The 19,507-nt window shown below is 37.2% G+C and overlaps 1 long non-coding RNA gene and 1 pseudogene across 1 annotated transcript in view; one reads left to right on the top strand and one right to left on the bottom strand.

Moving 5' to 3' along the window:
- Positions 1–19,507, bottom strand: part of LOC107986195 (uncharacterized) — a 496,338-nt gene that overhangs the window by 311,748 nt on the left and 165,083 nt on the right. The gene's annotated exons all lie outside the window — the stretch shown is intronic.
- ATP5MGP4 (ATP synthase membrane subunit g pseudogene 4) lies at positions 17,235–17,681 on the top strand (annotated as a pseudogene).

Genomic DNA, 19,507 nt, shown 5'->3' with positions numbered 1-19,507 from the left:
CACTACTTTGCCTTCTGCCCAGAAAACCCAGTGATATTCCAATGGTTGACAGCCAGCTCCAATAGGATTATCACAGCAGAAACCATAAATCTTTGTGAGCAAAATCTTTACCACTTTCTCAAGTGTCATGCTTATTTCGAATAACAGATCCTGGCTTCTCCCAGGTGCCTGTTTACAAGAAAACATGTGATCATGGACAATGGAACTCCACATTATAAGTTTGATATATAGTCCACTTGTCTATAAAGTCAGGTGTGCCCCAGGGGTTCCCTTTTCAAATAGAAATGAGCACACAGAACTGAACCTGATTAGGTTCTGAAGGCACAAGTTAAGTTTGGAGGCTCATTACCATCCCTTCCTCTATTTTTACCTAAGGTTATCATGAAGAGCTACCTACAATCAATTGACTGAAAAGGGGCAAATCCTGGATTACAGAAGGTTCTACCCAAAATACAGGCACTAAAAAAATCCAGCTTTCCATCTATGAAACTCTGGGTGCGATGGGTTTGGTTGTCTTGGTAGCCAAGGCAGGAATTCTTATATCAGAGATATTTAATACAACAATGGAACCTGGAATTGTAAGTGGACAATGCCACCTGGCCAGTTCAGCTTCTTTATACATCTAAGTGAATAGGGGATAAAGGGAATATTGGTGTTGACTTTTGAGATTGATCCTGACTGTCAAAAGAAATTAGAAGTACTGCTACGCAATTAGGAAAGTAAGAAATATGGATGGAACTCAAAGAATGCCCTGAGATGCTTCTGGGTACTAATGTGTTCATTGATAAAATTAACTGGGAGACCACAGCATCTGTGTAGAAAAGACAACCAAAGGTTAAGATTCGTCAAGAATGAATGTTTGGGACACTCCATCAGGTAAAGAATCTTGAAGAGTTGAGGTGTCAGCTGAATAGAAAAAATAGATACATGAAAGGAATAATAGAGTAGAAAAGTTATACTTAGCAACTTCAGCTTTATGACCAGTTACGGAAAAGAGGATTGCTACAACTTGCATTTTCTTTCTTTCTTGTGTTTATATAGTTAACTTCTCTCTTCTTTCCAATCCTTTTTTCTTACTATTTTATGTAGGACATGTTGGTGCTGAACAACTTTTCAATTTGGCCCATAGGATTAAAACGGATTACAAATTAACTAGAAGAAAAATGAGCTTGTCGATGTAGTGATGAGTAAGATTTTGTGTTGCTCCCCTTAGAGGGAAGAGGCAAATGCATTTTGGATACATGCAGGTTAGTTGAATTACTTTGCATGAAGAATTTTTTTTAATTATTGAAAAAATGGTTTGAGTTGATGTTGCACATGCCAACATGGATTGCAGCAGACATCTGGCACTCTTCTTCACTTCTCAGTATCCAAAGAGCCTTCTCAGTGAGAGACACAACCTATCTCTCATTATAGAAATGAAAACTGCCAAGTTCTCGCTTTTCCCTTCTCCCTTGCAGGGCATGAGCCTGTGACGAAGGCTCCACCAGTCATACTCACCAACCCCAAACTCAGGAGGCAGTATCAGAAAGAAACAGGACCAAGAGAATCCTCTCTGGCAATCACGGTCTCTTAAACAAGAATAGTTCCTGGGGCAATTGCAGCAGTGGTGCCGCTATGACCACTGACTGTTGGTGCTGTGGGATCAGCATTTAAGGGTTGGAGGTGGATTTGTTTTCCTCTTTGGACAGATTCTACAACATTATTTTGATGCTTTCCACAGCTATTTAGACCCCATAGAGCCATATAGTACTTTTTTTCCATTTTCTAATATATTTTCTCTTGTTTTTCAGGGTTTTCACTTTTTAATTTGAGGTAATTTTCTATCGAATACCTTTAATAAATTCTTTTGCTGTTTAAATCAGCTAGAAAATGTTTCTGTTGCTTACAACTAAAAATACTGCCTATACAGTTATTAATGTTCATCACAGTACTGTTAATAAGAACAATAATTATAAGTTGATCAAGCATCCAACATATAGTATTGGGGTCCAGTGAACTTTATTATATTTATACCATAGAATACTAGTACTAATTTTAAAAGAATGTTACAGCATAAATTTAATGAAATAAAAAAGTGTTCATAATATACTGAATGGCAAAGCTTGTTACAAGTTGAGTAGAAGGACACAGATTTGTAATTGATACCTTCTTTATAACTTACATATCTATCATTTATTTATCCTATATTAGTTATCTGTTACTGTAAAACAAGTTATTCTAAAGCTAAGCAGCTTAAAACAACAAATATTTCTTCTCTCCCAGTTGCTTTAAGTCAAGAATCTGGGAATAGCTTGGCTGGGTGTTTCTGGTACACGGTTTCTTATGAAATTATAGTCAAGTTGTTGGTCAGGGCTACAGTCCCTGGAGATGTGATTGAAGATGAGGGAACCTCTTCCACACCCAGGAAAATTACAAAAGACTTCATTTCTTCACCATATGGACCTTTGCCTAGGACTGTTTACAATCTTCCTTTCCCCAGAGAGGAGAGAGAGAGAGAAAGAGAGAGACGACATGCTTAAGATACAAGGACAGCCTTTTATTATCTAATATTAGAAATGACATCCTATTACTAGAAGCAAGCCACTAAGTCCAGCCCGTATTCAAGGGAAGGATAATTAAGCTTCACCTCTCAGGTGGAGGAGTATAGAAGGATCTGTGGATATATCTGTAAAACCACCATATACACATATGTATACATATAAAAATACTTAAAGATACAAGAGTTTGTATAGTAAACTCTTCCAGAAAAATACATGGTATAAACATTATACATATTATAAAAATTATCCCATAATTATAAGTAGGTGTGGGTGTTTGTGTGTGTGACAAAGTACTGTCTGTGCCAACCCCTCTCTTAACAACTTCTGGTAAATTACCACAGGGTGGAGTCACCTCTGGGAAGGGGTATATTGTGAACTGTGTCTACAATTGGGTTGCACGCAGGTACAGATATAACTCTCAGACTATAGGAGGTGAAAGGGTGATAATGCAAAGTCCAGATTTCAGGGAAAGAGTATGGATCCCTGAGAGAACCCTAAAGAGAGAAGGAGCTTGGTAAAACAAACTGTATCAGGCTCCCAGCTGGATAAAATTAGCGGTTCTGGGTCCTAAAGGATAATGGCAGCCAACATTACCCCCACCTGCCAGGGTCTCTAGAGGAGCGTGGCTTATTAGGTCCTCTCATCGCAAGCGTGCACCAGACAGTTGTTACCAATAGATGAGCGAGTAGTGCAAGTGAAATCTATCGATGTTCCAATGCGAGGAATGCCTATAAATAATCAGAGTGAGCAGGAATAGGAGAGAGAACTTTGCAGAAGTCTGGTGTTCTTTAGCTAATAAGATTTGGGTGTTGATACTATTGTAATCTCATTTCTATCCAAACACTGTTTGATAGATTCAGACTAGATAAATACCAAAAAGTTAATATTTTATTGCCAATCTATATCTCCGAGGCTTTTTTATAATTGATACATATTATTTTATAATAATAAAAAGTTAGTTTCTTAAAACATTTCCTCAAATATGAACAAAAATCAAAGAAAGATCAAAAGAAAAAAGATAAAAATATAACAGAAAGTAAAAGCAGGACACAAAACTATATACAGTAAGAATCTCATTTATTTTTAAATGCTGATATATGATAATACGAAGTATTAATGGGGTTAAATGTGCTTTATGTGCATATATATATACTTACATATATATATTAAACTATCTCGATATCTACATCTATCCATTTCTCTATATTTATTGAGGAGGAGAAAACCCAGAAGGAAACATACCAAAATTCAAGTAGCTATTTTTCACAGGATTACAAATTATTGTCATTATCTTCTTTGCACTTTTCTGTATTTTCCCAAATATCTATAATGAGTGTGTATTACCATTACAATCGAATTTTTAAAATGAATATTTTAAACAAGCAAAAGGGGAAATAAATTATGACACTTTTATGTAATAAAATAATATGTAAGGATTTAATATGACATTTTCAAAAAGATACAATGATATGATTAAGTGCTCATGATAAAATTATGAGTATAAAAGGGTTAAAAATTACATCATAAGCAATGTGAAATCAACTTTGTATGTGTGTATATATATACATACATAAATATACATATAAACAGGAATTTGAATAGAACTCTTCCTGTTGTCTTAGAATTTTGGCTGAAACCCCAAAACTGAAAACAATGGGTTATAAATAACCCGTATTCTAAAGAGAGATGTTAGACCTATTCATGAAGGATTCTAAGAAGAGAGCAGAACTGGTCCAGCAGTTATCAACTCCCACCACCTCTAACCTACTTAAGTGAAGTCTAAAGTTCAAAAGTTGATTAAAGAGCACCTTAAAGAGAGAAAAGTAGTCAACTTTAAAGGGAGTACAATAGCAGTTTCTCTCCCCTCAAGCCCTTCCTTAAATGCTCCAAAAAGAAACACACATAGAGAGGCAGGATGTCCACAAGACTGGGAGACAGGCATCCCTCAGAGGCCCAACCCTGTGGAATGTAGGCCCCATTGTTGCCATAGGACTGAAATAAAGTGAAAGTTCATGACAGAGCTTGATGTGTTTCTCTTGGAATCTGAGGTGACTGGAGCCTGATTTCCAATCAGAAAACAAAGCAGTTAATGGTTTGGAGTCACTTGAGTTAGCAAAGTAAGGTCAAAGGATAGTCATGGGGCATAGCTTGTACTTCAATTATTTAGCAAGGCAAGAAAGCCTGAGATTCCTGAGGGCTGCTTGGTACTGTGGATTGTCCCCACCCAAGAGAGACAGTACAAGGCAGTTGGGGGTTCTGATAAGCTGCTTTTGGTGCAGAGAGGAAGGACATTTTAAGAAGTCAGCCAGAGAGAGGTCTGTATTAGGGAGCAATTAGAACAGAAGTTAAAAATGTGTGTCTATCTGCATATGTGCATGCAAAGGTGTGTGGGTACACACATGCAGTTGCAGAATGGTTCTAACGAAACAGAATTCCATCCCAATCAGTATCAATATTTGGACACCTTCCAAAATGGAGAATATGGCTAACAACCAGTATTAGTCAAGACAGAACTAAAATAATACTAGACATCTTAGATTTTGTCTCTTTTCCTCTAATCTCCCTTCCTTTGCTTGAATCCTAAGATGCACAGGATGAGAAGAGGAGATGGATGAAGTCATGCTCCCCTTCCTCATTCCAGGTCCTTGTAAACCAAAAATAAAATTCTAAACCCCTCAGCCAAGTGAATGGACACCTCCTCTAGGCCAAGGGCATTCCAAAGTTAACCTGAAAAGCTAGTTCAGGCCATGATGTGAAGGAGGAGTCAGACATGCCTCATTATACCTTCTTCCCGTTGGAATTCAGGCACAGCTGACCCACATTAACACAAATAGAGACCTTAAGACTGACAAAACGGACTCTTTATAGTAATAAGATATCAATATGACAGACGGCAGGCCCTGAAAGAAATCAAAGTATTTTACCTCAAAATATATTTCTTTGACACATTTTGAAATGACCCTGCAAAGCTGTCTCTTGTGGGGAAAAGATCTACATTCTGTAGAGAATCCTCTTCCCTTTGCAGGTCTTTTTCCTGATTCAGGAGAGAATTAACTAAGAGTCTGGCACTTTTTTTAAGTCTGATGAGAAATATTTACAATCTATTCTCTCTGAAGCCTGCTACCTGGAAGCTTCCTCTGCATGATAAAAACTATGGTCCTCACAGTCCCTTATATTAACCCAGACACACCTTTCTAGTGATTCCCAGTCTTCAGATAACAACTTAACTCTTCAACCAATTGCCAATCAGAAAATCTTTGAATCCACCTATGACCTGGAACCACTCTAACCCCACTCCCCTTCAAAGTGTTCCACTTTTCTGGACCAACCAATGGACATGTAACATGTATTGACTGATGTCTTATGTCTCCCTAAAACCAAGCTGTAGTCCAACCACCTTGGGCACATGTTCTCAGGATCTCCTGGGGCTGTGTCATGGGTTATGGTCCTCACATCTGGCTCAGAATAAATCTCTTCAAACATGTTAGAGTTTGACTCCTTTCATAGACATCTTTGAGCCATAATGGGTCAAAATAGGTAGAGTGGATGGGAGAAGCTTTGGTTTGAATGAGAAATTGAAGTTTTGATTTAGACATTAGTGGACTTTTGGGACCTGAAAGGGAACACTACTTTTCAAAAAGGAATCTATAATTATAATAGAGAAGGTACATAAAGCCTTCGAGCTAGCCAAGAATATTCTTTGTATTCTTTTAATTTTATGCATTTAACAAAATGGTTGTGTCTGTGTGTGTCCTGTGTGTGTCTGCATATGTGTGTTGAGAAATGGGTGGTTAGATGATGAACAGATAGAAAGATAGATAAATGTATATGTGTCTCAATATATAGATCTCCATGTTCTCAAAAAAAATAATTTGAAAATAATACGTCAAAACTTTTGCAATCGTTATCTCCAAAAGATAGTATTAAGAGATGTAATATTTTCATATGCCTTGAATATTTTTATCTTTTCCTGTATTTTCCATTAACACTATGTATTCATTTTATATACAGTACAAGTAATTATATAAAAACTTCTCATAAGGAGACATTGTACTATTATACTAAATTCCACTAGACTGAAAACTCTATAATGACAAGGGACTATTATTGCCTTATTTACCACTCCTTCCCCAGCACAGTATCTGGTACAGAATAGGCACTCAACAAATGCATATTGAATTCATTAATGAATTAGCTACATAATTAGGTTCAAACGCCTTCCATAAAAATTAAAGTGGAAGAAGTGTGGGGTTTTTTTTCCATGCTACTTAATAGCCATCTCTCTGTGCCCATTAATGAAAAGCAAAGATTGTCAAAAAGGGATGGCAAATACATTTTGAGCCCAAATGTGCATTTAACATAGGCCAGGGATATTTGTAATGCTTCCTTACAATCAAACTACTTACACAGGAACACAGAAAATTATTTAAATAGCCACTGTTCTCTATAAGAAGAATTTTTTTTGCAAGATGTAGAATCTGTCATGAGTATTTGCATCTCAATTTATTTAATATTCTGATTTTATCTTGATATTAGTTGATATGGCTTTCAAAATTATATTTCACCCAGTTCCAGAAAAGAAGCTTCTATCCATGCTCCATCCCTAAATTTACTTTCACCACTCATGCTGATCAACATATTGTATTACCATGCTCCTTACTGCCCATCATGTTTCCGTTCTTAGAGACTCCCTCGTTGACCTGCTTGAGTGCCCCGTTTGAGAAGGTGCTCTCTTTATGCTAAAGAAGGACTGGATGTAGCAAAAAGGTTTCTGTGCTGAGAGCCAGAAAGTTGCCCTTGAAGTATCAGCAATGAAGGAAGAGCTAATTTTTTTTTTTTTTTACCTCCCTTGTTCTCAGTTTCCTCATCTGATTCTGTTTCTTTGTTTCACACTGTCATGTTCGGAGGTTCCGAGTGATACTAGTAAACACACTTCCCCAGGGGTGACCTCTTCCTTTCAGTTTGATTTGAACCAAAGATGAGTCTTAGAGCACATCTGATGCTCAGGTGGTTTATTCTTTTTTTTTGAGATGGAGTCTCACTCTCATCACCCAGGCTGCAGTGCAATGGCGCGATCTTGGCTCATAGCATCAAGTGGTTTATTCTTGGTAGCACACTTAAAAGATGGATAGCAGGAGCTGGCCGGTAGCATGAGCCAGGGACAGCCAGGTACCATCATGGGGTCAGATGATGGACTGACCTGGAGAGTCTCCCTCCAGCGACAGTTCTCATGGTTTGGGGGATCCTTTTCCCTCCCCTATACCTGTATTCAGTGCAAGTCAGTTACCAGGTGTTTCTTTCATAAAGGGAGTTTAGACCATTCTTGTAAGGGTAAGCATTGTTTTAAGGTTTATAAAAGTTACATCTGTGCTGAGGTGGCCTTGTCTCCTGGAAATTCCCATGCCAGGGTTAGAAACCCCCAAGTCAGATTGCATGACATTGCTAAGTGACATGTAGTATAGGCTCTTCAAGATGCTTAGTGGGCCTTATGGCTATCATTGATCTTACAGCCATGATATGTCTCTGAGAGTGTACTATACACACACTCCTCACCTGAAATCCCACATTTAATAAAATTACTAGACGTGTGTTTCTGCTTGCTAAGCTTTCACTTTCTTCTATTTTGTTGAGGCTTTTCCTTAATCGACTTCCTTCTAACAGCATTTTACAGTAAGTCAATGTTCTGTAGTCCCAGCACTTTGGGAAGCCAAGGCAGGTGGATCACTTGAGCTGAGGAATTCGAAACCAGCCTGGGCAACACGGCAAAACCTTGTCTCCACAAAAAAATAGAAAAATTAGTTGGTTGTGGTGGCTTGCACCTGTGGTCCCAGCTACTGGGGAGGCTGAGGTGGGAGGATCACTTGAGCCCGGGAGGTTGAGTCTGTAATGAGCATCGTACACTCTAGCCTGGGCAACAGAGTGAGATCCTGTCTCAAAAAAAAAAAAAAAAAAAAAAGTCAGTGCTGCCTCTCTGGCTTCAATTTTCACAGATGCTGAAATTTCAAAATGTTGAAAATTTAGGTCTTCCTGAGTCAACATTATGGTCTCATTTTGCATTCCACACACTAATCTATCTCCCCAAGAGCTATTAGATCCTCTGCACACTGGCAGAGCTCTTGTCACAAAAGGGAAAATTGGTTTAGGCTTCATAAGTGGAATCAACATGAAGTTGAATTCAGCAGTAAATAGTGAAAATATAATTCATGCACATATTTCATCTGTTTGTTCTCTCCAATCATAAAAAAAGAAACGTTTTGCCTTCACCTAACATCAAATGACCTATCACAGCTTCCCTCAGGGTATATCACAGTACCTTTTTTTAAAGTCCTTTACCTCTTTTTCCATGTAACTTGGAAAGGTCTCAACAGCTTCACTGGGTATTACTATTCTCCAATTTAAGTTGCATTTTCTTTCAAGTGAAAACCTTGACTTTCTGGGACATTAGTTAATGGTGTCAAAAAACAAGAGCCACCATTCCTATTCACATGACAAACACCTGCTTCCACCAATTAGTAAAAACACAATGGGAATTCCAATAGCAACAATTCCTTGAACAGAACTTACTGGAGCTTCTTATTCCTAACCTAATGAAAACAGCCCGTAAGTGAAGGGAATTTGTTCCTTCTGGTGGATTTTTGGAGCTAGCAGAATATGAAACATTCAAGGAAAAGCTCCTGTACTAATCTTCTGTAAACCAAAAATAAAATCCTAAGTCCCCCACAACCAACTGAATGGACCTGCTGTGGGCCAAAGGAAACCTGAAAAACTAAATTCCCAGCCTTGACAGGAAGGGTGGTCAGATACACCCTGATATACTCCCTCCCTTTTGGAATTTAAGCACAACTGACCACCATTAACATTAAAATAGAGGGTCTAAGACTGACAAAAAAGACTCTTTGGCAATAAGATACCAAATTTCAACCTGTCTCTGGTATAGCATCACATGACAGATGGCAGACGCTGAAGGAAATAAAAATATTTTACTCCAAAATATATTTCTTTGACACATTTTGAAATGGCCACGCAAAGCCATCTTTTGTGGGGGAAATGGTGCATCTGTAGAGAATCTTCATTAACGAAGGTAATCCTTTCCTGGATCTAAGAAAGATTAACTAAGACTTTGGCATCTTTTAAGGTCAGAAAAAAAGACCTTTACCATCCATTTTTTCTGAAGTCTGCTATCTGGAGGCTTCATCTACGTAACGAGAACCGTGGCTTCCAAAATCTCCCTTATCTTAATTCAAGCATTTCTTTCTACTGACTTTAGGTCTTTAGACAAAGCTCAACTCTTTCAACCAGGGGCCAATCAAAAACATCTTTGAATTCACCTGTGACCAGTAAGACACCCCCCCCTCCCGCCAAACAACACTCCCTTTGAAGATGTCCCGTCTTTCTGGGCTGAACCAATGTATACCTTACATGTATTGATTTAAGTCTTTCCCTGTAATTTCTGTCTCCCTAAAATGTATAAAACCAAACTGTAACCTGACCACCTTGGGCACACTTTCTCAGGACCTCCTGAGACTGTCCCACAGGCCACAGTCACTCGTATTGGCGCAGAATAAACCTCTCTAAATATTTCACAGCCTTTTATTTCTTTCTGTCAACACTTTTTTTTTCTTTTTTTTTTTTTTTGAGATGTAGTCTCGCTCTGTCGCCCAGGCTGGAGTGCAGTGGCGTGATCTCAGCTCACTGCAAGCTCTGCCTCCGGGGTTCACGCCATTCTCCTGCCTCAGCCTCCCAAGTAGCTGGGACTACAGGCACCCACCACCACGCCCGGCTAATTTTTTGTATTTTTAGTAGAGACAGGGTTTCACCATGTTAGCCAGGATGGTCTCCATCTCCTGACCTCATGATCCGCCTGCCTCGGCCTCCCAAAGTGCTGGGATTACAGGCGTGAGCCACTGTGCCCAGCCTCTGTCAACACTGTTGAACCTCTTTTTTCTCCTCTAATTTTCAAGAACTTTAAGATTCTCTTAAAACAAATAAACAGAAATGCTCTAACATCTTACCCCAGGTCTTCACTTTCTGAAAGAATTGTATTTACACTTAAGTGAATAGCTTTGTTAGAACTGTATATCTACTATGAGTGAAACCACTGTCTGTATATCATGCATACATATTTATTATAATAAAAATAGCTAACATTTTATGCTACTTTTATTCCTGAAAAACTATTTGATATGTATATTTAATTCCTAATAATCAATCAAGCTTTCCTTAAAATGGCTACATTGAATGCTATATGAATTATTCATGAACAAATAGAATATTTTGTGCAGGAATACCCCTAAACTAGAGAGAATGTCAGTACTGAATCTTTGTGATTGTTTTAAAAATTGTACAGGCTATAGGTATTTTTAAAAATGCAAATAATACAGAACTATATAGGTTACAAAGTAAATACCACATTTCACTTTCTGTGTTGCCCTCCTCTCACTCCACCTCTTTCATTGAACCTCCCCAAACAGTAATTAATGGAAATTTTGTTCGTGCTTTAGTGTATGTATTTACATACAGAAATATGTATAGATTTTTTATAAATAAAATTATGCTATTCACATTGTTCTGAAGCATTATTTTATTCTCACTTAGTAATATGGTGTATAAATATTTCCTAATTCTTTTTAACTGCAGCAGAATATCTATTATGTAAAATTTCCATTTGCTGGATGGGATAGCTCACACCTGTAATACCAGCACTTTGGGAGGCTGAGGTGGAAAGAGCTGAGTTCCTAAGGCTTGGAGTTTGACACTAGCCTGGGCAACATAGTAAGACCCTGTCTCTGTGAAATTTTTTAAAAAATAGCTGGATATAGTGGGGCACATCTGCAGTCCTGGCACCTCAGAAGGCTGAGGCAAGAAGATTCCAGGAGATTGAAGCCATAGTGAGCTATGACTGTGCCACTGTACTCTAGCCTGGTAAACAGAGCGAGACCTTGTCTCTAAAATAAATAAAACTTCCATTTAATCATTTTATTATTGATTTACATTTAGGCAGTCTCAATTACTCCTGATTATAAGTTCTGTTGCACTGAATATCCTAGCGTTGCCAAATGCAGGTTCACCTGCTCACCGCTTGACAACCAATTAGCAATTAGCAATTCATAGAAGGAGAATAACTTTATTATGAACGAAACCTAGCAATGGCGAAAATGGTCCAGGCTCTTGCCTTCATGGAACCACTTTAAATTTCCAAGCTCAGTGCCAGAATTTTGAAAAGGGGAAGTTTGGGAAAGGGAGGATATGCAGGGGACAAGGCAGTGCTGGTCTATGCTGTGACTTGGTTCGATGACTTGTCTTGCGTTATTGCCCCATCTGGTGAATGGGCTGGCATCACCCTAGGCTCAGTGGGGTTGTAAATTAACTGTAGCCTTGAAGCAATCTCCTGGTGCGGGAGATTTCCACAGGTGCTTGCATTGTTTCAAGATTTAACCTCTGGAACTTTTAAGCAAACGTATAATCAGATATGCTACCAATGTGAGGAGGTGCCTAGTGGTTAAGTGAACACAAAGAAAAAAAAGGAAAAAGGATAAAACTTTAAAAATTGGGCACTTGGTTACACCAGTACGTAAGTCAATACTCATGTGCACAGAAGTTGAAATTTGGTTCAAGAATTAAACTCATTTTAAAAATCTGATAGATTAACCAGAGTCTTTACTAATGTGTATTTCTACAAACAGTATATTCAGAGTTACCATTTCCCCAGTTTCACCAAACCTGTACACTATTAATTTTTTTCACTTTTTTTAAATTATGGGAGAAAACATTTTTATTAATTTTATTTCCCCAGTATTCATAACGGAGTTAAAATCATTTCAGAAGTGCATGCATCAGTGTTTCATATTCTTTGCCCTTCTCTTTATTAGTTTAATTTTATTATTAACATAGAGATGGTTTTGGATAATAGGATAATTCTTTTTTATACACACATACACATATTCATTCTACTTTACTGCTTGTCTTTTAAATTTACCTTTTATCATAACCAGTTTTTTTGTTTGTTTGTCTCATTGAGTTTTTTAGAGTCAAATCCCTCAGGTTTTTTCCTTCTTAGATTGCAGGAGTTCTGCTTTGTTGAGGAAGTCATTCCTCAAGTAAACTGGAATGCCACCTGTATTACATTTTAAAGTTTCATATAATCATGAATATATTTCTAGATTCCATTAGAGTCTCATTGCTCTATTCTTTTTGCATCAATGATATTATATATGTATATTCACATTACATATATAACATATAACTCTGTAATATATATTGCTATTTAATATATATATTTACATAATATTTCTATTTCTTATATAAGTAATAGAAACATGTAGCTGGGTGCAGTGGCTCATGCCTGTAATCCCAGCACTTTGCCTGGAATCCCAGCACTTTGGGAGGCCAACGCGGGCAGATCACCTGAGGTCAAGAGTTTGAAACTAGCTTGGTCAACATGGTGAAACCCTGCCTCTACCAAAAATACAAAAAAAATTAGCCGGGCATGGTGGCATGCGCCTGTAGTCCCAGCTACTCAACTACTCAGGGGGCCGAGGCAGGAGAATTGCTTGAACTCAGTAGGCGGAGGTTGCAGTGAGCCAAGATGGTGCCACTGCATTCCAGCTTGGGCAACAGAGCGAGACTCTGTCTCCAAAAAAAAAAAAAAATAGAAACATGTAAATTATTACACATTGTATAATATAAACAATATTATAAAATATATACTTTATATAATTTATATTTTTTAATTCATTGAATTGAGCAAGACTTCTCTCCAACGTAGACTATTACCAGTTATAGTGAATATTCTTGTCTTGTGCTTAGCTATAATATAAATATTTCTAATTTTTTAACATTAAGTATAATCCATGCTTAAGATCTTTCATAAATACACTATAGTTAAAGGATTTTTTCTTTATTTCTATCTTTCTAGGAAATTGTATTAGGATTAGAGATTTTTCAGTATCTATTGAGTTATCATCCCCTCACCCTTTAAATTTATTAGTAAAATGGGCTGGGTAATTCCAGCACTCTGGAACTCCAAAGTGCTTTGGAATTCCAAAGTGCTGGAATTACATGGCTCACATCTGTAATCCCAGCACTTTGGGAGGTTGAGGTGGGAGGATTGCTTGTTGAGACCAGGAGTTAAAACCAGCCTAAGCAACATAGTGAGACTCCATCTCTACAAAAAAAATTTAAAAAATAGCTAGGTGTGGTGGCACTGCTTCTAATCCTAGTTACTTGGGAGGCTGATGTGGGAGGACTGCTTGATCCTAGGATGTCAAGGCTGCAGTGAGCCATGATTGTGCCACTGCACTCCAGCCTGGAAGACAGAGCAAAACGTCCCCCCCCCCCCACCAAAAAAAAAATTAGTAAAATGCATTACCCTGGTAGCTTTTCAAACTCCTGGGCTCAAGTAATCCTCCTACTTCAGCTTCCCAAAGTACTAGGATTACAGATGTGAGCCGCTGTACCCAGCTTTGTGGCTTTCCTAATGTATCAGTCTGTTCTCACACTGCTATGAAGAGCTACCTGAGTAATTCATGAAGACAGGAGGTTTAATTGCCTCACAGTTCTCAGGTTGTATAGGAAACATGGCTGAGAGGCTTCGGGAAACTTACAATCATGGTGGAAGGCAAAGGGAAAGCAAGCACATCTTACCACGGCAGAGCAGGAGAGAGAGATAAGGGGGAAGTGCCACAGACTTTTAAACAATCAAATCTGGTGAGAACTCACCCACTATCAGGAGAACAGCAAGGGGGAAGGTGGAAATCTGCTCCTATGACCCAATTGCCTCCCACCAGGCCCCTCCTTCAACACTGAAGTTCATAATTCAACATGAGATTTGGGTGGGGACACAGAGCCAAACCATTATCACTTAATATTGAACCACACTTGCAAACCTAAAAGAAAACTCACTTGGTCATGATGTATGATGACTTATATACTGCCATTTCAATTTGCTATTATTTTATTTAAGACTTTGATACCTGTCTATAAGTGAAAATTGCCTTTAGTTATCATTTGCAGGCTATCTTCTTTTGAAAGCAACAGCAACATTTTGCCATCCTATAGAATGAGTTGAAGAGTGAATCAGTTCTAAGTCTCAGAATAGCTATATTACATGGCAATTATCTGTTTCTGAAAGATTTGGTAAAATCTTTATATTTCCCTTATTTTTATAAAATTAATCAAAGTTGCTGAAATGATAATCATATTAATATTTCAATGGTGTAACAAAAAAATCAACATTGTAGAAATGCCTCTGGTCAGTTTATTTTGTTTTAGTGGGAAAATTCATATGCATGAATATAAATCACAAATACCTAGTCATGTTATGTTTTAAAAAATGTCTCATGGTTCCTGAGCCATTCACTGCATTATGACATGAAATTCAACCAAGACTGAGAATACTTGCTCTGTGGTTTAATCTACTCCACAGAATTATCAATAATATTACAGAAAAGGCATTTAATGTGGAGATATTGAAAAGATAATTTTAAAATTACAGAATAATGGTACTCAAAGTATATACTGAAAACTGTAACATTACTATACATTTCATTTAAATGTATAAAACATATTATACAATTAGCTTACACTATTTACTATGCAATCCTACCTGTCTAAGGATTGATAAAATCTCTAAATTAAGTGTGGCTAAATGTTATATCATGGACCCTAGACATTTATAAACAAACTTCCTGGCTACATAATTTCTGCGATTTACTGTTTACTCCCTAGATTTGTTAGAATAATGTTCAGATGTGACTATCAGAAACCCAAAATAACAGTGGCTTAAACAAGCTAGAAGTTTGTCTTTCAGGCACAATTTTAGAGGTAAACAATCCAGGAAGACAGTAGAGCAGCCCTGTTTCACAAAGCCCTTAGGGACCCAGGCTCCTTCCAACTTTCTGTTCTGGCATCCTATGGATTCTGTCCTCACTCATGGTCTGAGATGGAATTGCAGCCTTACATATATGCTGTGCCAGTTAGAGGAAAAGGGAAACAAGCATTCATGGGTACCTACAAACTGACTCACATTGAAGGATCCTGGAAGCTGTCACAGGATAATTCCACTTATATTCCATTGACCAGAATACAGCCACATTTAATACTTCACTACAAAGGAAGCTGGCCAGTATATTTTTATTTTTCTAGGAAGCTGGATTTCTAGCTAAAAACCCTATCGTAATGGAAGAAAAATAGAACAGATTTTGGAAGAAAACTAGCCATCTCTGCCACTACCATCTCACAAACACTCACAAGTAACACTCACATTTCCTAATCTCCTCCCTTTCATGAATGTAATCCCCTAGTGACAAATGGCATCTAGGAGTAGAGATAGATCAGCACTGATATAGAAAACAACTTAAAGAGCATGACTTACTGCGAGTGGGTCACTGGTGCTATTCTGATAAACAAAAAGCAGAATACTCCTTGAAGAAATAGTAACCCATTTTTTTCAATCAGCCAACATATGCTGGGCAACGGTGATGTTAACAGCACTGTTTAGGTGCCATGCAGGTCATAACAAACTTGTTTTGGGCATTTTACAATGCAATTGGAATGATGGCATATACACATAAAATGTCATACAATCCAATAACTATTAATAACAAAGCAAGAGATGTGACAAGTCTGCATATGATTAAGTGATTCACTACTAGTATAGAAAGAAATGGAGATTTATATTTCAGATACTATGGTGGCTGGGAATTTGGAGGGATGAATTAACCTTTTGAAAACAACTAAAATACTGGGTTAAATATAAAATGTCATGTTAAAAATATGTATGATATGAAAAAATAGTAACGTATTATCAATCAAAAACTAAGTGGAAGAGAGAATCTAAATAGTGAACAAAGGACTAAAGCTGCTTTTGTCATAGACACAGTTTCTAAACCAATAAACTTGATTTCCATTTTCACAGCCTCATGGACTCAGGTGGATTAAAAACAAAGCAGAGTTAACCCAGGTGAGGAAGCCTATAAGAGACAATTCCCAACCAATAATTTGAGACCCCAAGTGGCTACACACTCAGTGAAAGTGAATCAGAAGTAAGCTCTTCCCACCTTCTATTTTCCCTACCTATAGGGGGCTCCAAGGAAACATGTCTTGATACCAGTGATACCAAAGAGAGCAAAAGGGATAAATCTTCCCTGAAAGGTTATAATCATAAGCCAACCTTGGTATAGATTTATAGCTCTAATTCATATCACCTGTGTGGTCCAAAAGACCTTAAACTGTAAACTTAGTTTACAATGATCCTAGGCACAGCTCCCTCGGATATTTGAGAGAAACAAACAAAAGTCATCTCTGGACTTTATCTTTATTTTCATTTTTATCCCAAGGACTCAAAGTATTCCTACAAATAATTTCCCAAGAAAAATGAGCAACTCGGAATTAAAACTATGTACCCACTGAAACAAGGCACCATGAGAAGAAAAGAAGCCAAAACAGATTGAGACTTAAGATATTAGAATCATTAGGTATATATTATAAAATGCTTATTAAAGAGGAGAATTAATATATCTATGAGGAGTTATAAAAAGTAACCCAGCAAATCTGAGAAAGGATAAAGCAGATATTCTAGAATTTTAAAAAATATTTTTATTTACATTTTAAAACTCAGTTGATGTGTTCATGAGCAGATTAAACACAGCTGAGCAGAAAATTAAGCAGCGTAAAATAAATTAGAAGAAACTGATTCAGCTGGTCATTTGGGGTGACAAACGTTTCATCTTAGAACGATGGCCCAATTTGTCCCTAACTTTGTAGTGAAGGCCTCAACACTGGTGAATGCTGCTATGACTTACTTGAAGGTTTGATTGGCCACATTTTGGTATGACACCAAGGTTGAGCTGGTTCCTCCACCCCCTGCTAATATACCTAGAACTATTCAGCGCCTTAAAAAATAGTAGTGCTCAAATTGTTAGTTTCAAACAGCTCACAGTTAAGGAAGCTGTGCTGAATGGTTTGGTGGCCACTGAGGTATGGATGTGCTTTTATATTGGAGAGATCAGAGGCAAGTGTGTCATCATTGGCTATAATGTTTAAAGACCAAACTTTAACATTTAATTATATTTGATTTATTATTTGAGTGTTCTTGGACTATGTGTGATCAGATTGCTATCTGAATAAAATGTGTCAAAAAAAACTTCCTTATGCAACATAAAGAAACAAGTAAATGGGGGTTGGGGGATAGACAAAGGAAAGTTAAGAGAAATTAAGGATAGAATTAGAGTTAGCACGTATAATAAATTTTTTATCAGAGCCCCAGAAGGAGAAGTAAGAGAGAATGAGGCAGAGGCAATATTTGGGAAGATAATGACGAAAAATATTCTAGAAGTGATAAGAGACATCAATCTTTAGATTAAAGAAGTCTAACATATCCCCACCCAGGAGAAATGGCACATTATAGTAAAGAAGAACAACACCAAAGACAAAGAAAAGATATTAAAGAAGCCAGAGAAAAACAAAAGATTACTTTCAAAAGATCAATAGTTAGACTGATAGCTAACTTCTCAAGAACATTAGTGAAACCAAAAGATAATGGAATAATACTTTTAATGGGCTGAAAAGATTGACTTTCAATCTAGAATTCTATATCCAAAGAAACTATATTTTTTCAAAAGGGGGAAAAATGGCATTTTTCTTGCAAACAAAAATTAAGAAAGTTTACCAGTAGCAGATCTTTACTAATAAAATTTTAGATTATATTCTTCAGAAAAAATGAAAGTGATCCCAGTGGAATGTCAGAAAAGCAAGAAAAAATAAAACAGCAAAGAAATTAGGAATTATGTGAGTAAACATAAATTAATTTTTACTATATAAAGCCAATAATAATCATAATGCATTATTGGGGATAAAAATAAGATGTGTAGCAAAATAACATAAATCAAGAGAAGAGTAATGGAATTAAGACATTTTAAGACTTGTATTGCTTGGGAAAGAGGTAAAGGTATCTTTTGACATTAACGTCTGATGTGTTAATTATTCACATTATAATTTCTAAGAAAGTGACTAAAAGAAAGGAAACATAACGTCCAACTTTCAAAGTACTAAAGGGGAATAATGGAATAATCAAAAATACTCCTAAAAAGGCAAGAAAGGAGAAAAAAGACAGAACAATTTGAAACACTAGTAATTTCATCATCTATATGGACTAATAGTTCTATTTAAAAAACAAAAAAATTATGATAAATTTTTGAAATTCCAACAATTTATTAGTTATAAGAGATACCTCCTTTGCCCACTTTTTGAGACATTTATGCAGCCAACAGACACATGAAAAAATGCTCACCATCACTGGCCATCAGAGAAATGCAAATCAAAACCACAATGAGATACCATCTCACACCAGTTAGAATGGCAATCATTAAAAAGTCAGGAAACAACAGGTGCTGGAGAGGATGTGGAGAAATAGGAACACTTTTACACTGTTGGTGGGACTGTAAACTAGTTCAACCATTGTGGAAGTCAGTGTGGCGATTCCTCAAGGATCCAGAACTAGAAATAACCATTTGACCCAGCCATCCCATTACTGGGTATATACCCAAAGGATTATAAATCATGCTGCTACAAAGACACATGCACACATATGTTTATTGCGGCACTATTCACAATAGCAAAGACTTGGAACCAAACCAAATGTCCATCAATGATAGACTGGATTAAGAAAATGTGGCACATATACACCATGGAATACTATGCAGCCATTAAAAGGATGATTTCATGTCCTTTGCAGGGACATGGATGAAGCTGGAAACCATCATTCTGAGCAAACTATCTCAAGGACAGAAAACCAAACACCGCATGTTCTCACTCATAGGTGGGAACTGAACAGTGAGAACACTTGGACACAGGGTGGGGAACATCACACACCGGGGGAGAGGGGAATGGGGGAGGGATAGCATTAGGAGACATACCTAGTGTAAATGACGAGTTAATGGGTGCAGCACACCAACATGGCACATGTA

The sequence above is a fragment of the Homo sapiens genome, chromosome 4 (assembly GCF_000001405.40).
Source record: "Homo sapiens chromosome 4, GRCh38.p14 Primary Assembly".
NCBI classification, from domain to species: Eukaryota; Metazoa; Chordata; class Mammalia; order Primates; family Hominidae; genus Homo; species Homo sapiens.
This window is presented reverse-complemented; position numbering and strand designations above follow the sequence as displayed.